This window comes from Homo sapiens, chromosome 12 (genome assembly GCF_000001405.40).
Source record: "Homo sapiens chromosome 12, GRCh38.p14 Primary Assembly".
Classification (NCBI taxonomy): Eukaryota; Metazoa; Chordata; class Mammalia; order Primates; family Hominidae; genus Homo; species Homo sapiens.
Window position 1 is genome coordinate 9224861 of NC_000012.12, and position 13539 is coordinate 9238399.

General features: G+C 39.3%; 1 pseudogene across 2 annotated transcripts in view; it reads right to left on the minus strand.

Annotated features, from left to right (window-relative positions):
* Positions 1–3667: 3667 nt before the first annotated feature.
* A2MP1 (alpha-2-macroglobulin pseudogene 1) overlaps positions 3668–13539 on the minus strand; it is a 45821-nt pseudogene continuing 35949 nt past the window's right edge. The window contains exons 21-30 of one of the 2 annotated variants that reach the window (NR_199634.1): positions 11405–11581; positions 9275–9452; positions 8526–8832; positions 7502–7720; positions 7195–7325; positions 6746–6836; positions 6150–6218; positions 5393–5495; positions 4512–4553; positions 3668–3838 (exon numbers count right to left, since the gene is read on the minus strand). The product of NR_199634.1 is annotated as an alpha-2-macroglobulin pseudogene 1, transcript variant 2 (transcript). Of the gene's footprint in view, positions 3839–4511; positions 4554–5392; positions 5496–6149; positions 6219–6745; positions 6837–7194; positions 7326–7501; positions 7721–8525; positions 8833–9274; positions 9453–11404; positions 11582–13539 lie in introns of those variants that run through there. The other variant, NR_040112.1, reaches the window with a different exon arrangement.

A 13539-nucleotide genomic window follows, 5' to 3' on the forward strand; every position in this document is an offset into this window, starting at 1 on the left:
GATGGTATCTGCTGTTTGGCACTATGCTTCTTGGACACACCAATGTATCTCAGGATTTACTTGTCTGTAAAGGATTTTATTTCTCCTTCACTTTTGAGGCTTAGTTTGGCTGGATATGAAATTCTGGGTTGAAAATTCTTTTCTTTAAGAATGTTGAATATTGGCCCCCACTGTCTTCTGGCTTTTAGGGTTTCTGCTGAGAGATCCACTGTTAGTCTGATGGGCTTCCCTTTGTGGGTAACTCAACCTTTTTCTCTGGCTGACCTTAGCATTTTTGCCTTCATTTCAACCTTGGCGAATCTGACAATTTTGTGTCTTGGTGTTGCTCTTCTTGAGGAGTATCTTTGTGGTGTTCTCTGTATTTCCTGTATTTGAATGTCGGCCTGCCTTGCTAGGTTGGGTAAGTTCTCCTGTATAATATCCTGAAGAGTATTTTCCAACTTGGTTCCATTCTCCCCATCACCTTCAGGTATACCAATCAAACGTAGATTTGGTCTTTTTACATAGTCCCATATTTCTTGGAGGCTTTGTTCATTTCTTTTTACTCTTTTTTCTCTAAACTTCTCTTCTTGCTTCATTTCATTCATTTGATCTTCAGTCACTGATACCCTTTCTTCCACTTGATCGAATCGGCTACTGAAGCTTGTGCATGCATCACGTAGTTCTCATGCCATGGTTTTCAGCTCCATCAGGTCATTTAAGATCTTCTCTACCCTGTTTAGTCTAGTTAGTCATTTATCTAATCTTTTTTCAAGGTTTTTAACTCCCTTGCGATGGGCTCAAACATCCTCCTTTAGCTTGGAGAAGTTTGTTACTACCAACTTGCTGAAGCCTACTTCTGTGAACTCATCAAAGTCACTCTCCATCCAGCTTTGTTCTGTTGCTGGTGAGGAGCTGTGATCTTTTGGAGGAGAAGGGGCGCTCTGGTTTTTAGAATTTTCAGCTTTTCTGCTCTGGTTTCTCCCCATCTTTGTGGGTTTATCTACCTTTGGTCTTTGATGATGGTGACCTACAGATGGAGTTTTTGTGTGGATGTCCTTTTTGTTGATGTTGATGCTATTCCATTCTGTTTGTTAGTTTTCCTTCTAACCATCAGTTTCCTGAGCTGCACGTCTATTGGAGTTTGCTGGAGGTCCACTCCAGACCCTGTTTGCCTGGGTATCATCAGCAGAGCCTGCAGAACAGCAAATATTGCTGTCCGATCCTTCCTCTGGAAGCTTCATCTCAGAGGGGCACCTGGCTGTTTGAGGTGTCAGTCAGCCCCTACTGGGAGGGTCTCCAAGTCAGGCTACACGGGGGTCAGGGACCCACATGAAGGGGTAGTGTGTCCATTCTCAGAGTTCAAACACCATGCTGGGAGAACCACTGCTCTCTTCAGAGCTGTCAGACAGGGATGTTTAAGTCTGCAGAAGTTTCTGCTGCCTTTTGTTCAGCTATGCCCTGCCCACAGAGGTGGAGTCTACAGAGGCAGGCACGCCTCCTTGAGCTGAGGTGGGCTCCACCCAGTTTGAGCTTCCTGGTCGCCACTGCTTTGTTTACCTACTCAAGCCTCAGCAATGGCGGATGCCCCTTCCCCAGCCAGGCTTGCTGCCTTGCCATTCAATCTCGGACTAGCAGTAAGCAAGGCTCTGTGGGTGTGGGACCCACTGAGCCAGGCATGGGATATAATCTCCTGGTATGCTGTTTGCTAAGACCTTTGGAAAAGTGCAGTGTTTCGGTGGCAGTGTCCTGATTTTCCCAGTACAGTCTGTCACAGCTTCCCTTGGCTAGGAAAGGGAAATCCTCGACCTGTTGTGCTTCCCGGGTGAGGCGATGCCCTGCCCTGCTTCGGCTCGCCCTCTGTGGGCTGCACCCACTGTCCAACTAGTCCCAGTGAGATGAACCAGGTACCTCAGTTGGAAATGCAGAAATCACCCGTCTTCTGATGACTATCCATAATGCAAATAGGAACTATTATCTTGCTTAAAACCTTTCAATGACATCCATCAACAAATGAGAAATATTGTTCTAGTTTTTCACTATCTTGTGAAAATCGTTTGCCTCCATGTATACGTTGTTTTATTTTTCAACTTATCCTACTATATATGTCTATGAAGCTAATCTTTAACTTGGTACTTCAGTCCAAAATTAGAAATTAAGTCAGAATTAGAATTTGCTTCATGTGAATTGAATAAATATAAAATGAGTCTGAATAGGGAAGATGAAATGCAAAAAATTGACACTTGTGCTTAAAACCTTTTATATATTCATAACCTTAAAACCTTTTATACATTTATATATTCAATGCAATTCCAAACAATACCTAGTTGACTATGGGGATAATGAACTTAAAAGATTCTAGAGTTTTAACTTGAACAAATAATGATCTTAGTAATTGTATTAGTCCATTCTTGCATTGCTATAAAGAAATACCTGAGATTGGGTGATTTATAAAGAAAGGAGGTTAGTTGGCTCACAGTTCCACAGGCTGTCCAAGAAGCATGATGCTGGCCTCTGCTAGGCTTCTGGGGAGGCCTCCAGAAACTTACAATCATGGCAGAAGGCTAAAAGGGAGCAAGGCTTCTAACGTGGTGGGAGCATGAGCAAGGTGTGGGGGAGGTGCTACACACTGTTAGATGACCAGAACTTGCTAGAACTCTATCATGAGAACACCACCAAGGGGATGGTGCTAACCCATTAATGAGGGATTCACCCCCATGACCTAATCACCCCCCACCAGACCCCACTTCCAATTCTGGGGATTACAATTCAACATGAGATTTGGTGAGGACACAAATCAGTGATGCAAAGAAAAAGTGAAAACAGAGAAATGAAAAGACATCAGCCACAGTAGTTTTTAAAACATTTTATTAAGCTACAGCAATTCAAATATTGTAATCCTTATGAAAGAATAGACCAGGTACTCAATGGACTAGAATAGACCATTCAGAAACAAGCCTTAGTATACGTGATAATTTGTGATAAAGGAGGCATGTTTTATTAGCAGGGAAAGATTGAGTTGGTCAATCAATATTAATAGGGCTATTAGAAAGCTACATGGAAAAAAAAGTTAATTTAGATACTTTCTTGCTCACCACCCAATAAACAAGAAAATAATTTGAGATGGAATTAAATGGAAAAATCTGCAGCAGGACTTTTGCTTCCACACATGCAGGATTTCATCACCACAAAAACTCTCTAATGCTACTCACTTACGGTCACACCCATCCCACTCCCGTACTCTCTGTAACCCCTAGTAACCACGAATTTGTTTTTCGTCTCTATAATTCTGTCATTTAAGGAATGTTGTATAAAAGAAATCATTCAGATTGTGACCTTTTGAGATTGGCTTTTTCCCCACACAGCCTAATGCTTCTGAGATCCACTTAAGTCGTTGTGTATGTCAGTCGTTTGTTCCTCTTCGTTGTCCAGCAGAACTATGTCGTATGGTTGCCAAACCATTCATCTACTGATGAACTTTTTGTTGTTTCCAATGTTTGGAAAAACTGTTTTCTTTTTCCTTTTTGTGGTTTAATTGACATTTTTAAAAATTCCGCTTTAATTCATCTATAGTGTTTTTGAGTGTACCTCTTTGTATAGCTTTTCTGTGATTTAATAAATGCTAGGGAGAATAGATTCATATTCAGAAAAGTGAATATGATATTGATAAAGAACAAAAGAAAAGATAGAGTTATAAATGCCATAAATTTATTCAACATACAAATTTTGTGTATTTCCAATGATCTTCCCTTCTTTCTCTCACTGTCCTCTCTATTGATGAGTCTGTTCTTCATTTCTGGAGAAGTTCACCCAATGAGGTCCGTAAGTTGCTGTTTTCAAGCATTTCTTTATTCAGATTCTAAGTAGTAAAAGAAAAGGGAGAAAGGGAAATTATGTGACCTACTTAAGAATAATTCTTTATATTTCAGTTATAAATACTTGAACTTAGTAACTTTTAATTATTTTTAATGATAGGGATGTTCTCCGTGTTTTCATATTTTAAAATGGAGAAGCAAAGGTTTCATGGCAAATTCTATGTCAAAGATGAACCCTGTCAATCAGCCTAAAGGAAGGTCTTATAGACCACACCTTTCATGCTGTGCTATATGGATAATTACAGTGACAAGTTTTTTGACTTTAGTATACACTTAGAAATATCCTAGAAAGGCTATAGGGGATGAATATATCACCACTGGGTATAGAATGGAAACTACATGTTAGATAATTTAGTTTTTACATATGGGAAATTCTTGGATTCATCTTCAAACAAGTCACCCCAGACACCAGTAATTGTATTTAACTTGCATTTTTTTCTGAGAAATTTTATAATACATTTGATATAGTTCAATTTATACATGGTACATCAGGGTTTTTTTAGGATATGGAAAGGGTACAGTCTTCTCAAGAAGCAGCCTTATGCAGAGAACTGAGATGCTTATTTATTTTGAAGTTGGGATTAGACTTTACTGTTTAACTGAGATGCTTATTTATTTTCTTTCAAGTGGCATTAGATTGAATCATTTATACTTTACCAGCACTGCAAGGGGCATTGTATTCTTCAAAGGTGAATTCATCTGAAACACAGAAATTATTGGAGAGAAAGAGTGAAGACATTCAGGCATAAGCACCCAAGATGTGAATTGTAAATAAACTATGTAAGCTAAGAAAGAAAGTAGACAGCATCGCTATAGAACCAATAAAAATGACTTCTCTATTAAGCTATTTGGGATTGGTGGGAGGAAACTAAGAGAAAATCTGGCTTGGGAACAGAATTGAAAGGCCGGGTACACGGGTGGCATGCCTAAGAATAGTTACAGTAGTTACAGGACTCCGTAGATAGTACCTTTTCACAGCTGTGTTTTTCTCATTGGAATTGCACCTTGCTCTCTGAACCTTTCCTTAATCAAAGAAGAACAGTTTTAGCACTACCATCATGCTACAATGGTGGTAATTTTCTAGCTCAAAGCCATGAGCAAATCAAAGTATTTCCTGATTATCACAAAGTTTCCCAAATTGTGTGAGACTATCCGAAGCACAAGTCAAAAACAGATCAAATTTTTCATGTCACACATCAGCACTGAGATGTGTTTTTTCAGTTATTGTACTCTTCTTATCTCTTTGGAGTAATTCAGCCCAGGACAAACAACTTTATAGGGAAATTTAGATAGAAGATAGAATGGACCCTCTTATTGCCTTATGGTCAATTTATAAGAATGACTCTAACACTTGTTTAGTGGGGGGACATGAGAGGTTAATATACAAGAACATGATTATCCAGTGCACACAAACTCACTTTTTCCCCCAGTGAAACACTGTGGAGTTTTGCTTTAGTTAAGGCAATCCTTTACTAGGTTAGTAGTCTTTTTTTTTTTTTTTTTTTTTCATTTCAAAGCTCAGCATGTCTGAATCTTACCTGTCTCATAATAATCATAGGCTTTTACTGTAGCTGGTTTTAAATTCTTTATTTGGATGTCTTGTTCCACAAAGAAGGAAAAATGCAGGGTTTGATGGGTTAGCTGGAGAGACAGGAAAACAATTGGAATCAAAGATTAGTTAATCTTTGATTAACTAGTTACTAGTTACTGGCCACTCTTCATAAGATATTATCAAACCCTGTAGTTATGCTATATATCTGTACCAGAACCTATGAAAAGAAAGGGGAATTCTGTGACCTGCATAACATACTCAATGACAGATAAAAGAAGGACAAAAGAGACATTTTGTAGACAGCCAAATGTAATGAATCAAGCCTGTTGACAGTCCAGGCTTCATTTCTTTTTTCCTTTTCTTTTCTCTTCTTTTTTTTTTTTTTTTTTGTGGGGGGGACCAAGTCTCGCTCTGTCGCCTAGGCTAGAGTGCAGTGGCACGATCTCGGCTCACTGCAACCTCTGCCTCCCAGGTTCAAGCGATTCTCCTGCCTCAGCCTCTCAAGTAGCTGGGATTACAGGCACCTGCCACCGCCCCCAGCTAATTTTTGTATTTTTAGTAAAGATGGGGTTCCACCATCTTGGCCAGGCTGGTCTCGAACTCCTGACCTCATGATCCACCTGCCTTGGCCTCCCAAAGTGCTGGGATTACAGGTGTGAGCCACTGTGCCCGGCCGGCTTCATTTCTTTTTATAGAACCTCTAGTTGTTATTCCAAATCTAGCAGAGTCACAGAAAGTCTTACCTTTTCAAAGTAGATTGGGACATGGTTGGTGCTCACTTCAGTCCTCTGAATCTGAGGCTGTTTCTGGAGCTGTTGACCAAGAGGATAAGCCAGAAATATGGAATGAGAAAACTTCATACTGGCAGTAGTTTTCAGGTATTTATGATATAAACAGCTTCTCAGGAGCATCCAAACTACTAATTTTGATTTCTTCAAGAATAATAATGAAAATAACAGTAGCAATATTTATTGAACTTTTATTCTCTATATATGCTATAAGTGTATGTGCAGATACATATATGTGATATATATATGCATGCACACACCCATATATCCTTTTCTCTTTTTATATATAGCTGGAAAATAATTCAATACCATTCCACATAACTAGGTGTCTTGGGGCCTGTTGGAACATTATTTATCATGTTTCTGACTTATACCCTATACTTGACACCATATAATCATGATACACACTATTAAAATGATAGAGACACCCTCTAGAGAAGCAATTTTGAGGGAGCACACCTCTTGAAAAGTGCATCAATAAAGTCAAATTGACACGATAAATGCCAGCATTTACCATGGCTTTGCTATTTTGTAAGGGATCTAGGGATTACCTTTTTAACTGATGCTCTCATAGGTATGAAGCCTGATACCATCTTCACATCAACAATGACCATGTTGGAACTGGGTCAGTCCCCAGTATAACTATAAAATCAAAGCATAAGAATAAGGAATTCAAACAAAATTTCTTGGAATTCATTCAAGACAAACTCTCTCTTTACCTTCTATTTCTAACACTAAGTTACTATGTCTACTGTATCTGTTTCTGTTATTATGGTTGTTTGGAAAACCCATCATTTTAAGCTCACACTCTTCAGATATTGTAATACCATATTATCAATGTTAAGTCTTTTTCAGAAAATTTTCTCATTAATAAACACTGCAAGAATTCCATATTCATTATGTGTGGCTTTGGACAGTGGAGTTTCTCCACATAAGAAAATCAATTTCTCCATATTCTATTCGGTTGGTGCAAAAGGTCTGGTCATGATCTAGGACTTACCTAATGTTGATGTGAATCTGGAACGTTCTGTGAGCATCCATTCCATCACAATTTGTGGGGAGAGTATTAACCTGCAGAGCAAAAGGTGTTTTCCCTTCTTTCTTGGGAAGGATGTTATATCTCAGGCATGTCTAAAACAAATGGAAAAAAAATCCTTAATTTTTACACTGAACTTGTCTCATAATCTGTTCCAGACGATTCATACCTTCCCTTAGCACACACTTCTTTTTCTTATTTTGAAATTCAAATATAACTCTTGAGACTTTCTCTCCCATTTGCAGCATCTCCTAAACCCCAGCAGTCTCACCTGGAGGTACACACATCCTGACCCTGACATGGTTGTGCTGTACTCCCCTGGAACCTCTGGCAACTGGACCTCCTGCAGCACTAGGCAGTTGCCATCATCAACTTGGAAGTCTTTAGAAAAGGTGTCTGAAGACTTGATGGTGACCAAAGCTGCTTTCTCACTTTTAGTGAAAGTTGCTGTTCCATATTTGGAGAGCGCTTGAAGAGCCACCACTGTGTCCTGAAAAAAAAAATGAGTAGAGAAATCACAGAAGAGGAAAGTAACAAACTCACACTGGATGTAAACCATAACAACACTATTCTTTTTTCAGAATTATTTAGTCATAAATGCAGTCCACTAACTCTATTTCAATTCAGTTCAATCTGGTTAGTAATGATAAACTATTCTAGATACTTTGAAGGTATATTTTTAAAAAGTTTCTTCATTCAGCTAGTTTAAATAGACATATGGAGATAAGACTTAGATATCTGACACAAGCCCAGGCTATTTCAATAATTTATAAATTTATGTAACAATATTTGTTATAAAAGGTCAGAGAAGAGAGAAGAAAATATGGGTTAGAATAGTAAGAGAAGACCGAAGAAGGTTATCTGAGAAATAAGATTATCTCTGAATAATGAGCAGGGTTTATGTAGACAGAAGAGAGGCATCGGGGGGGGGACCTGGGTGGGGAATGCTCTATATGAAGTCATGGAAACTGCGGTGAGCTAATTCCAGAAGAAGCAAAGGGATCTGCCTAATCAGATTGGTGCACTCATGTTTACTGGAGAGAGGAAATATTTTTGATAAAATATTAGATAATTTTAGGCTTTGAGTGAAAAAAAGATTTATTTTCTAAGGGAAGTAATCCCTTGAAAATATTGCTTTGTGAAGACAAACCTACCTGCATGGTTGGGGGGCCCCTAGGGAGTTAAGAGAGGAGAGAGTATAAAAAGGACAGAGCAGTAATCCATACATAAGATAGTAAGGCTGGAACTTGTCTGCTGATGGAGGGATGGAGAAAGTGTGAATTGGAAATACTAACCATTCCATTATTCAACTCCCAGATGGTTGTGTCTTCATATATGTGAATATATTTATGTTTCCTTCTAGAGTCTTCCCACAGACCTGAGTGGAGGAGAAGCCCCCTTGGGGATTTTGCTGCTTGGTAATCCACTTCACAATACGTGATGCCACAGACAGGTCCTCTGAAGATGGGGCAGGCTGGACAGTAAGATAGGCAAGGAGCACATAAGATGTCATCTCTACTTCCACAGAGGGAGCCCAGGGTTGAGAATAGAGGGTCTTAGCTTCGTGAAGTTTCCCAGGACGTTGCCAGTGGATCGAATCCTCTTTGACATAGAAAAGGGTAGAATTTTTAGCTTAAAGGATGATTTCAAAATCTAATCCATAAGTGATAATTATAATTACAGTTTACCTAATAAATTGACATTTCATTTTAATGAAGTGAAAGCATTAAACAAAGTGAAAGCATTAAATAGTCACTATCAAACAAATCTTTATCAAGAAAGTAAAGTTCCAGGGAATAACATTGAGCCTTTGTGTCTACTACATGTGTGTGTGTGATATTAGAAGGTGGGACTGTATAGAGTCTATACTGTGTGGATTAATAAAATGATCCATGTTATCCAGAGAATTCGGGTCTTAGATCAATGATAATTATTCTGTCATTAAATTAAGATAGCATGGTAAGCATGAGCTCGGTAGAGGTATTGTCCCTTCTTTTGGTCACTGGTGGTTGTCAGAAGTAAACTTTGCAGTAGCAGCTCTTACCTTCTTTCATAGCCTCTCTGTTTAATGATTCAAGCAACTCTCTTCGCTTGACTTTGTTTCCTGCTAGGGCAAAGGCATAGGCCAATAATGCTTTGGTATAGACAACACTTCCTTGGGCCTCTGAGGTGGAGCTCCAGGCCGTTTCAAGGCAGGATAGGGCACTGCAGACCACTGCGTGCTATGAAGAAGACGAAAGGCTATTGTAAAACAGCAGAACCAGGCAAATGAGCTATTCCCGGGCTAACTGCAGATTAAAAACCTTAATGTGCCTGTATAACCTCACAGTTCTGACCAGAGAGGAGTTTCCTCTGCTGCTTCCAAAAGGATCTGGTCCTTTACATTCCAGTGAAATGTACCAAAATTAAATACCATAAAAATCACAATTAATTTCCCTCAGGGATTCACCATATTATAATTTTATTCTTTACGTGTGTGAAGGAGGTACAGAGGATGTGCTTGAACATACAGTGGCAGGCAGAGGCATCTCCAGCAAAGCAATGGTGATGTAGGCAGAGAATGTCACCTCATCGTTCACCCCACCGTGTAAGGATCAGAGGCAGAGAGACTCAAACACTTCAACAGTCATGAGACAGCATCTGCTAACACTTCTTTTCTTTTTGACATCTTCACTAGAGTGTTTCTTGTCTTGTGCTAGATTGTTTCTTGTCTTGTGCTAGATTGTTGATTTTCTCCCCTTCCTCCTCTACCCTAAAATTCTTGAGTCTGTCCCAGATCACCTTCCCTCACTTTTTATAGTATGTTCGGCTTTGAGGTTTTTTTGAACACTATTTTCATTCAATAAAAAACTACTAAGGTATTGCTAGATTTCAGGAGATTTAGAGTCCACCATTCTTCCTGAAATCTATGTCGCTAAGACTGAAGGACTCAATTCAAACATCATTTCCTCCCACATATCACTATCTTCAGGGACCAGAAGAAAAACAGAGAAGGCATCACCTTAATGGCATTGTTCAGCAGTGATCCAGAGCCTTCGAAAAAACCATCTGCCTTTTGTCCCTGTGAAAGCCAGGTGAGGGCATCCCTGATGTGTGAGCTCTCCACAAAGATGTACGATTGGGCTTGAGCAAAGGACTTGAGCACAAATGCAGTGAGCCCGTCGAGCAAAACAGAAACACACACATGAGGACCACCTCACTTTCATAGCTCACTTTGTGCACTGCCTCCAGACATTGCTCTTCACAATTCAGTGGAGGAGATTACTGGGAGGTATTGATGGGGAAATAGTATTTAAGAGCTGAATATACTCTAGTCCAACAAACACCTCAATATCTTTTATTATATCTCAACTTTATTGGTTTCTCTGAGTTGATGCTTTTTAATTTTTTTGTTGTGAAACATTTGTTGGAGCCTCCAAGCCTCCCCACCATGAAAACTGCATTTCCAGAATGACTTGTCCTGACTTTACTGCATCACGGTCTCCTTCTGTCCTCGCCCTCCCCTCCTTCTTTAATGCACAGTGTGGGAGCTTCTTCCCCTGTCATTTTATAGAATGACATTTTCTGCTTTATATTTCCATTTAGAAGATCCTTATTTCACCATTTTCAGCTGTGTTATCACAGCAGGTAAGCTTTCAGAGATGAAACGGTGAGATTACCCAACAGGAATGATACATACAGCATATGCGTTATTTAAAGACTAACAATTTTCCACAAAAAACTCCAGATATTAGAGAGTAGCTGTTTCTAGAATCCTGAAATGTCATGGATCTACAGAGAGCATAGGGAAAAAATAATCTTGTTTCCCTGACTGCTACCATCATTGTCCCCAAAGGTGCTGTAGGAACCATCTCTGTGCTTATAATTCAATTGCCTTTGGTACCCTGAAGAGGAAGTGTTCATAGATTTATTGAAATGGCAAAGACATTGGAGGATTATTGAGCTTTTTTCTCAGTGCTATTAGGAATCATAGGGTAACTAATATTTAGTTAAAATTTCCCGCAACCCCCAATCACAGGCTTGATGATACTATTGAATTTTCTACTTGTATATTGGGACATTTTATTGAAAATCACGACAATGACTATCGAATCTTAATGAAACAGATGTTGATTTTCGTTCACCAAAAAATATTTAAGAGATTATGGCTCTTCTTTTTGAGGTAATCTCTCACCACTGATGAGGTAGCTAGTGGCTTTGGCCTTGATCTTCTCTGTCAGCTGTCGTGTCTCATTTAGATAGTTTAGAACATAAATGTTAGGGACAAAAAGGACCATATTCTGCTCTCCACAACCATAGGGCATCTGAAGAAGGTTCTGAAGGTTTTGCACTACAGAGCCTAGTATATCACCTGTGGAATAAAAGTTGTAAAGAAATCAGATATGGTTTGTATTAGGCTAGGAAAATAGATTATTAGCTAACTGAGAGGCCAAATAACCTATAGAGAAAAGGACAAGAAGACTAAAAAAGGTGAAAAAACAAGAAATAGGGAGGAAAACAAAAGGTGAGAAAATAGACGGTTTAAGGATGGAGAAAGGGGGGAAGAAACTGAATGGTAGGTGATCTATCTTTTCTCATGGGCCACATGTCTGGTAAAACTCAACCACAACCATTTTCAAACTGACTAGGAAGCATTACCACCTAGTAAATTGCTTGAAGATGAGGGCACTGAGAGGTGACCCTTTCTTTTTAGAATATATCAAGGCATAATATGTAGCACAACATCTATTCAAGCCCCTTTCCAACTGTAACATAGTGTAACCCTTAGTGCTTTCTCTCAATCCATTGCCTGTTGTCAGAAACTTCATTAATCGTGGATGGTGAGGCCCATGCACTAGAATTATACAGCCAGACAGCTGCTTCCCTTGGGCTGAAAGAATCACCTAAAACTGAATATGTTGCCCTTGGAGATCCTTCAACCACATTTGAAGGAACATTCAGTGACACCTTTTCAGGTACTCCAGTATCTAATGAAAGAAGAAAAACACACATATAAAGGAGGGGAAAGTGAGAGAAATGTTCTATTTTTGTTATGAATCATGTTTCTCTACATCATCTAGATCCAACCTTTTATTTTCCTTCGTCATTATATAACTTTTTTTTTTTTTTTTTTTTTGTGATAGAGTCTCCCTCTGTCACCCAGGCTGAAGAACAGTGGCGTGATCTCACTGCAACCTCTGCTTCCCAGGTTCAAATGATTCTTGTGCCTCAGCCACCTAAGTATCTGGGATTACAGGCATGCACCACCACACCTGGCTAATTTCTGTATTTTTTATAGAGACAGAGTTGGCCAGGCTGGTCTTGAACTTCTGATCTCAAGCGATTTGCCTGCCTCCATCTCCCCAACTGCTGAGATTACAGGTGTGAGTCACCATGCCTGGCTCAGTTATTACATAATTTCTTTGATACAATCCAAGTTTCCCTTAAAGCCATGATTCATCTCTCAGTGAAATTCATATTCATCATATACATTTGTGCTAAATTTCTATGGCTTTTCCTATGGGCATATACTTATGGTATGCTTATTTCCTTCTCTTCATGGTTTATATTAATTCCTGCTACTGTTAGTGCTTTTCAAGAATTACATTCATTCCATTCATTTGTATTCAGTGTATACTATGTACCAGGTTCTAAGTGCAATGATACCGAAAGTTTCAAAACAAATTTCCTGGCCTCCTGGAGATTTCATTTTTAGGGGAAGACTACGATAAAAAAGCAAGAGTATATTTAGTATACTAGATGTTGATAAGTGCTATAGAGAAAATTAAAGCAGGGCAAGTGTTTCTATGGTGAGCTAGTAAAACAAGGCAGGTCAGGAAGTGGGGAGGGGGCTCCCTATGGAAAAGCTCATTGATAAAAAGTCCTGTGTGAGCAGAGACTTTAAGTAAGTCAAGGAGCCAGATTTATCCAAACCTGGGGGAAGATACTTCCAGGAAAAAGGAACAAAAAGTAAAAGGACTCCAGAGACTGAAGCATGCTGGGTGTATTCCAATAGGAAGAAAGAGGTCAGTGTGGCCGGAACGGGTTAAGCGAAGGAGAGATTAGGAAGACGTGAAGTCATGGGGTAGCAAGGGTTTCTAAGTGGCATTAAAAACTTACGCTTTAACTTAGGGGGGATATGGGAGATTCCTGAAAGGGTTAGAGAAGAGGAGGGACACGATCTGACACATGTTTTAAAGGATCCCTCTCGCTGAAGGGGAACAAGAAGAGATGATCAGGAGACCAGTTAGAAAGCTATTGAGAGCCTGCAAGAGAAAGGACTAGAATAGTAGAGATGGAGAGAAGTGGGTAGATTCTGGATGCAATTTG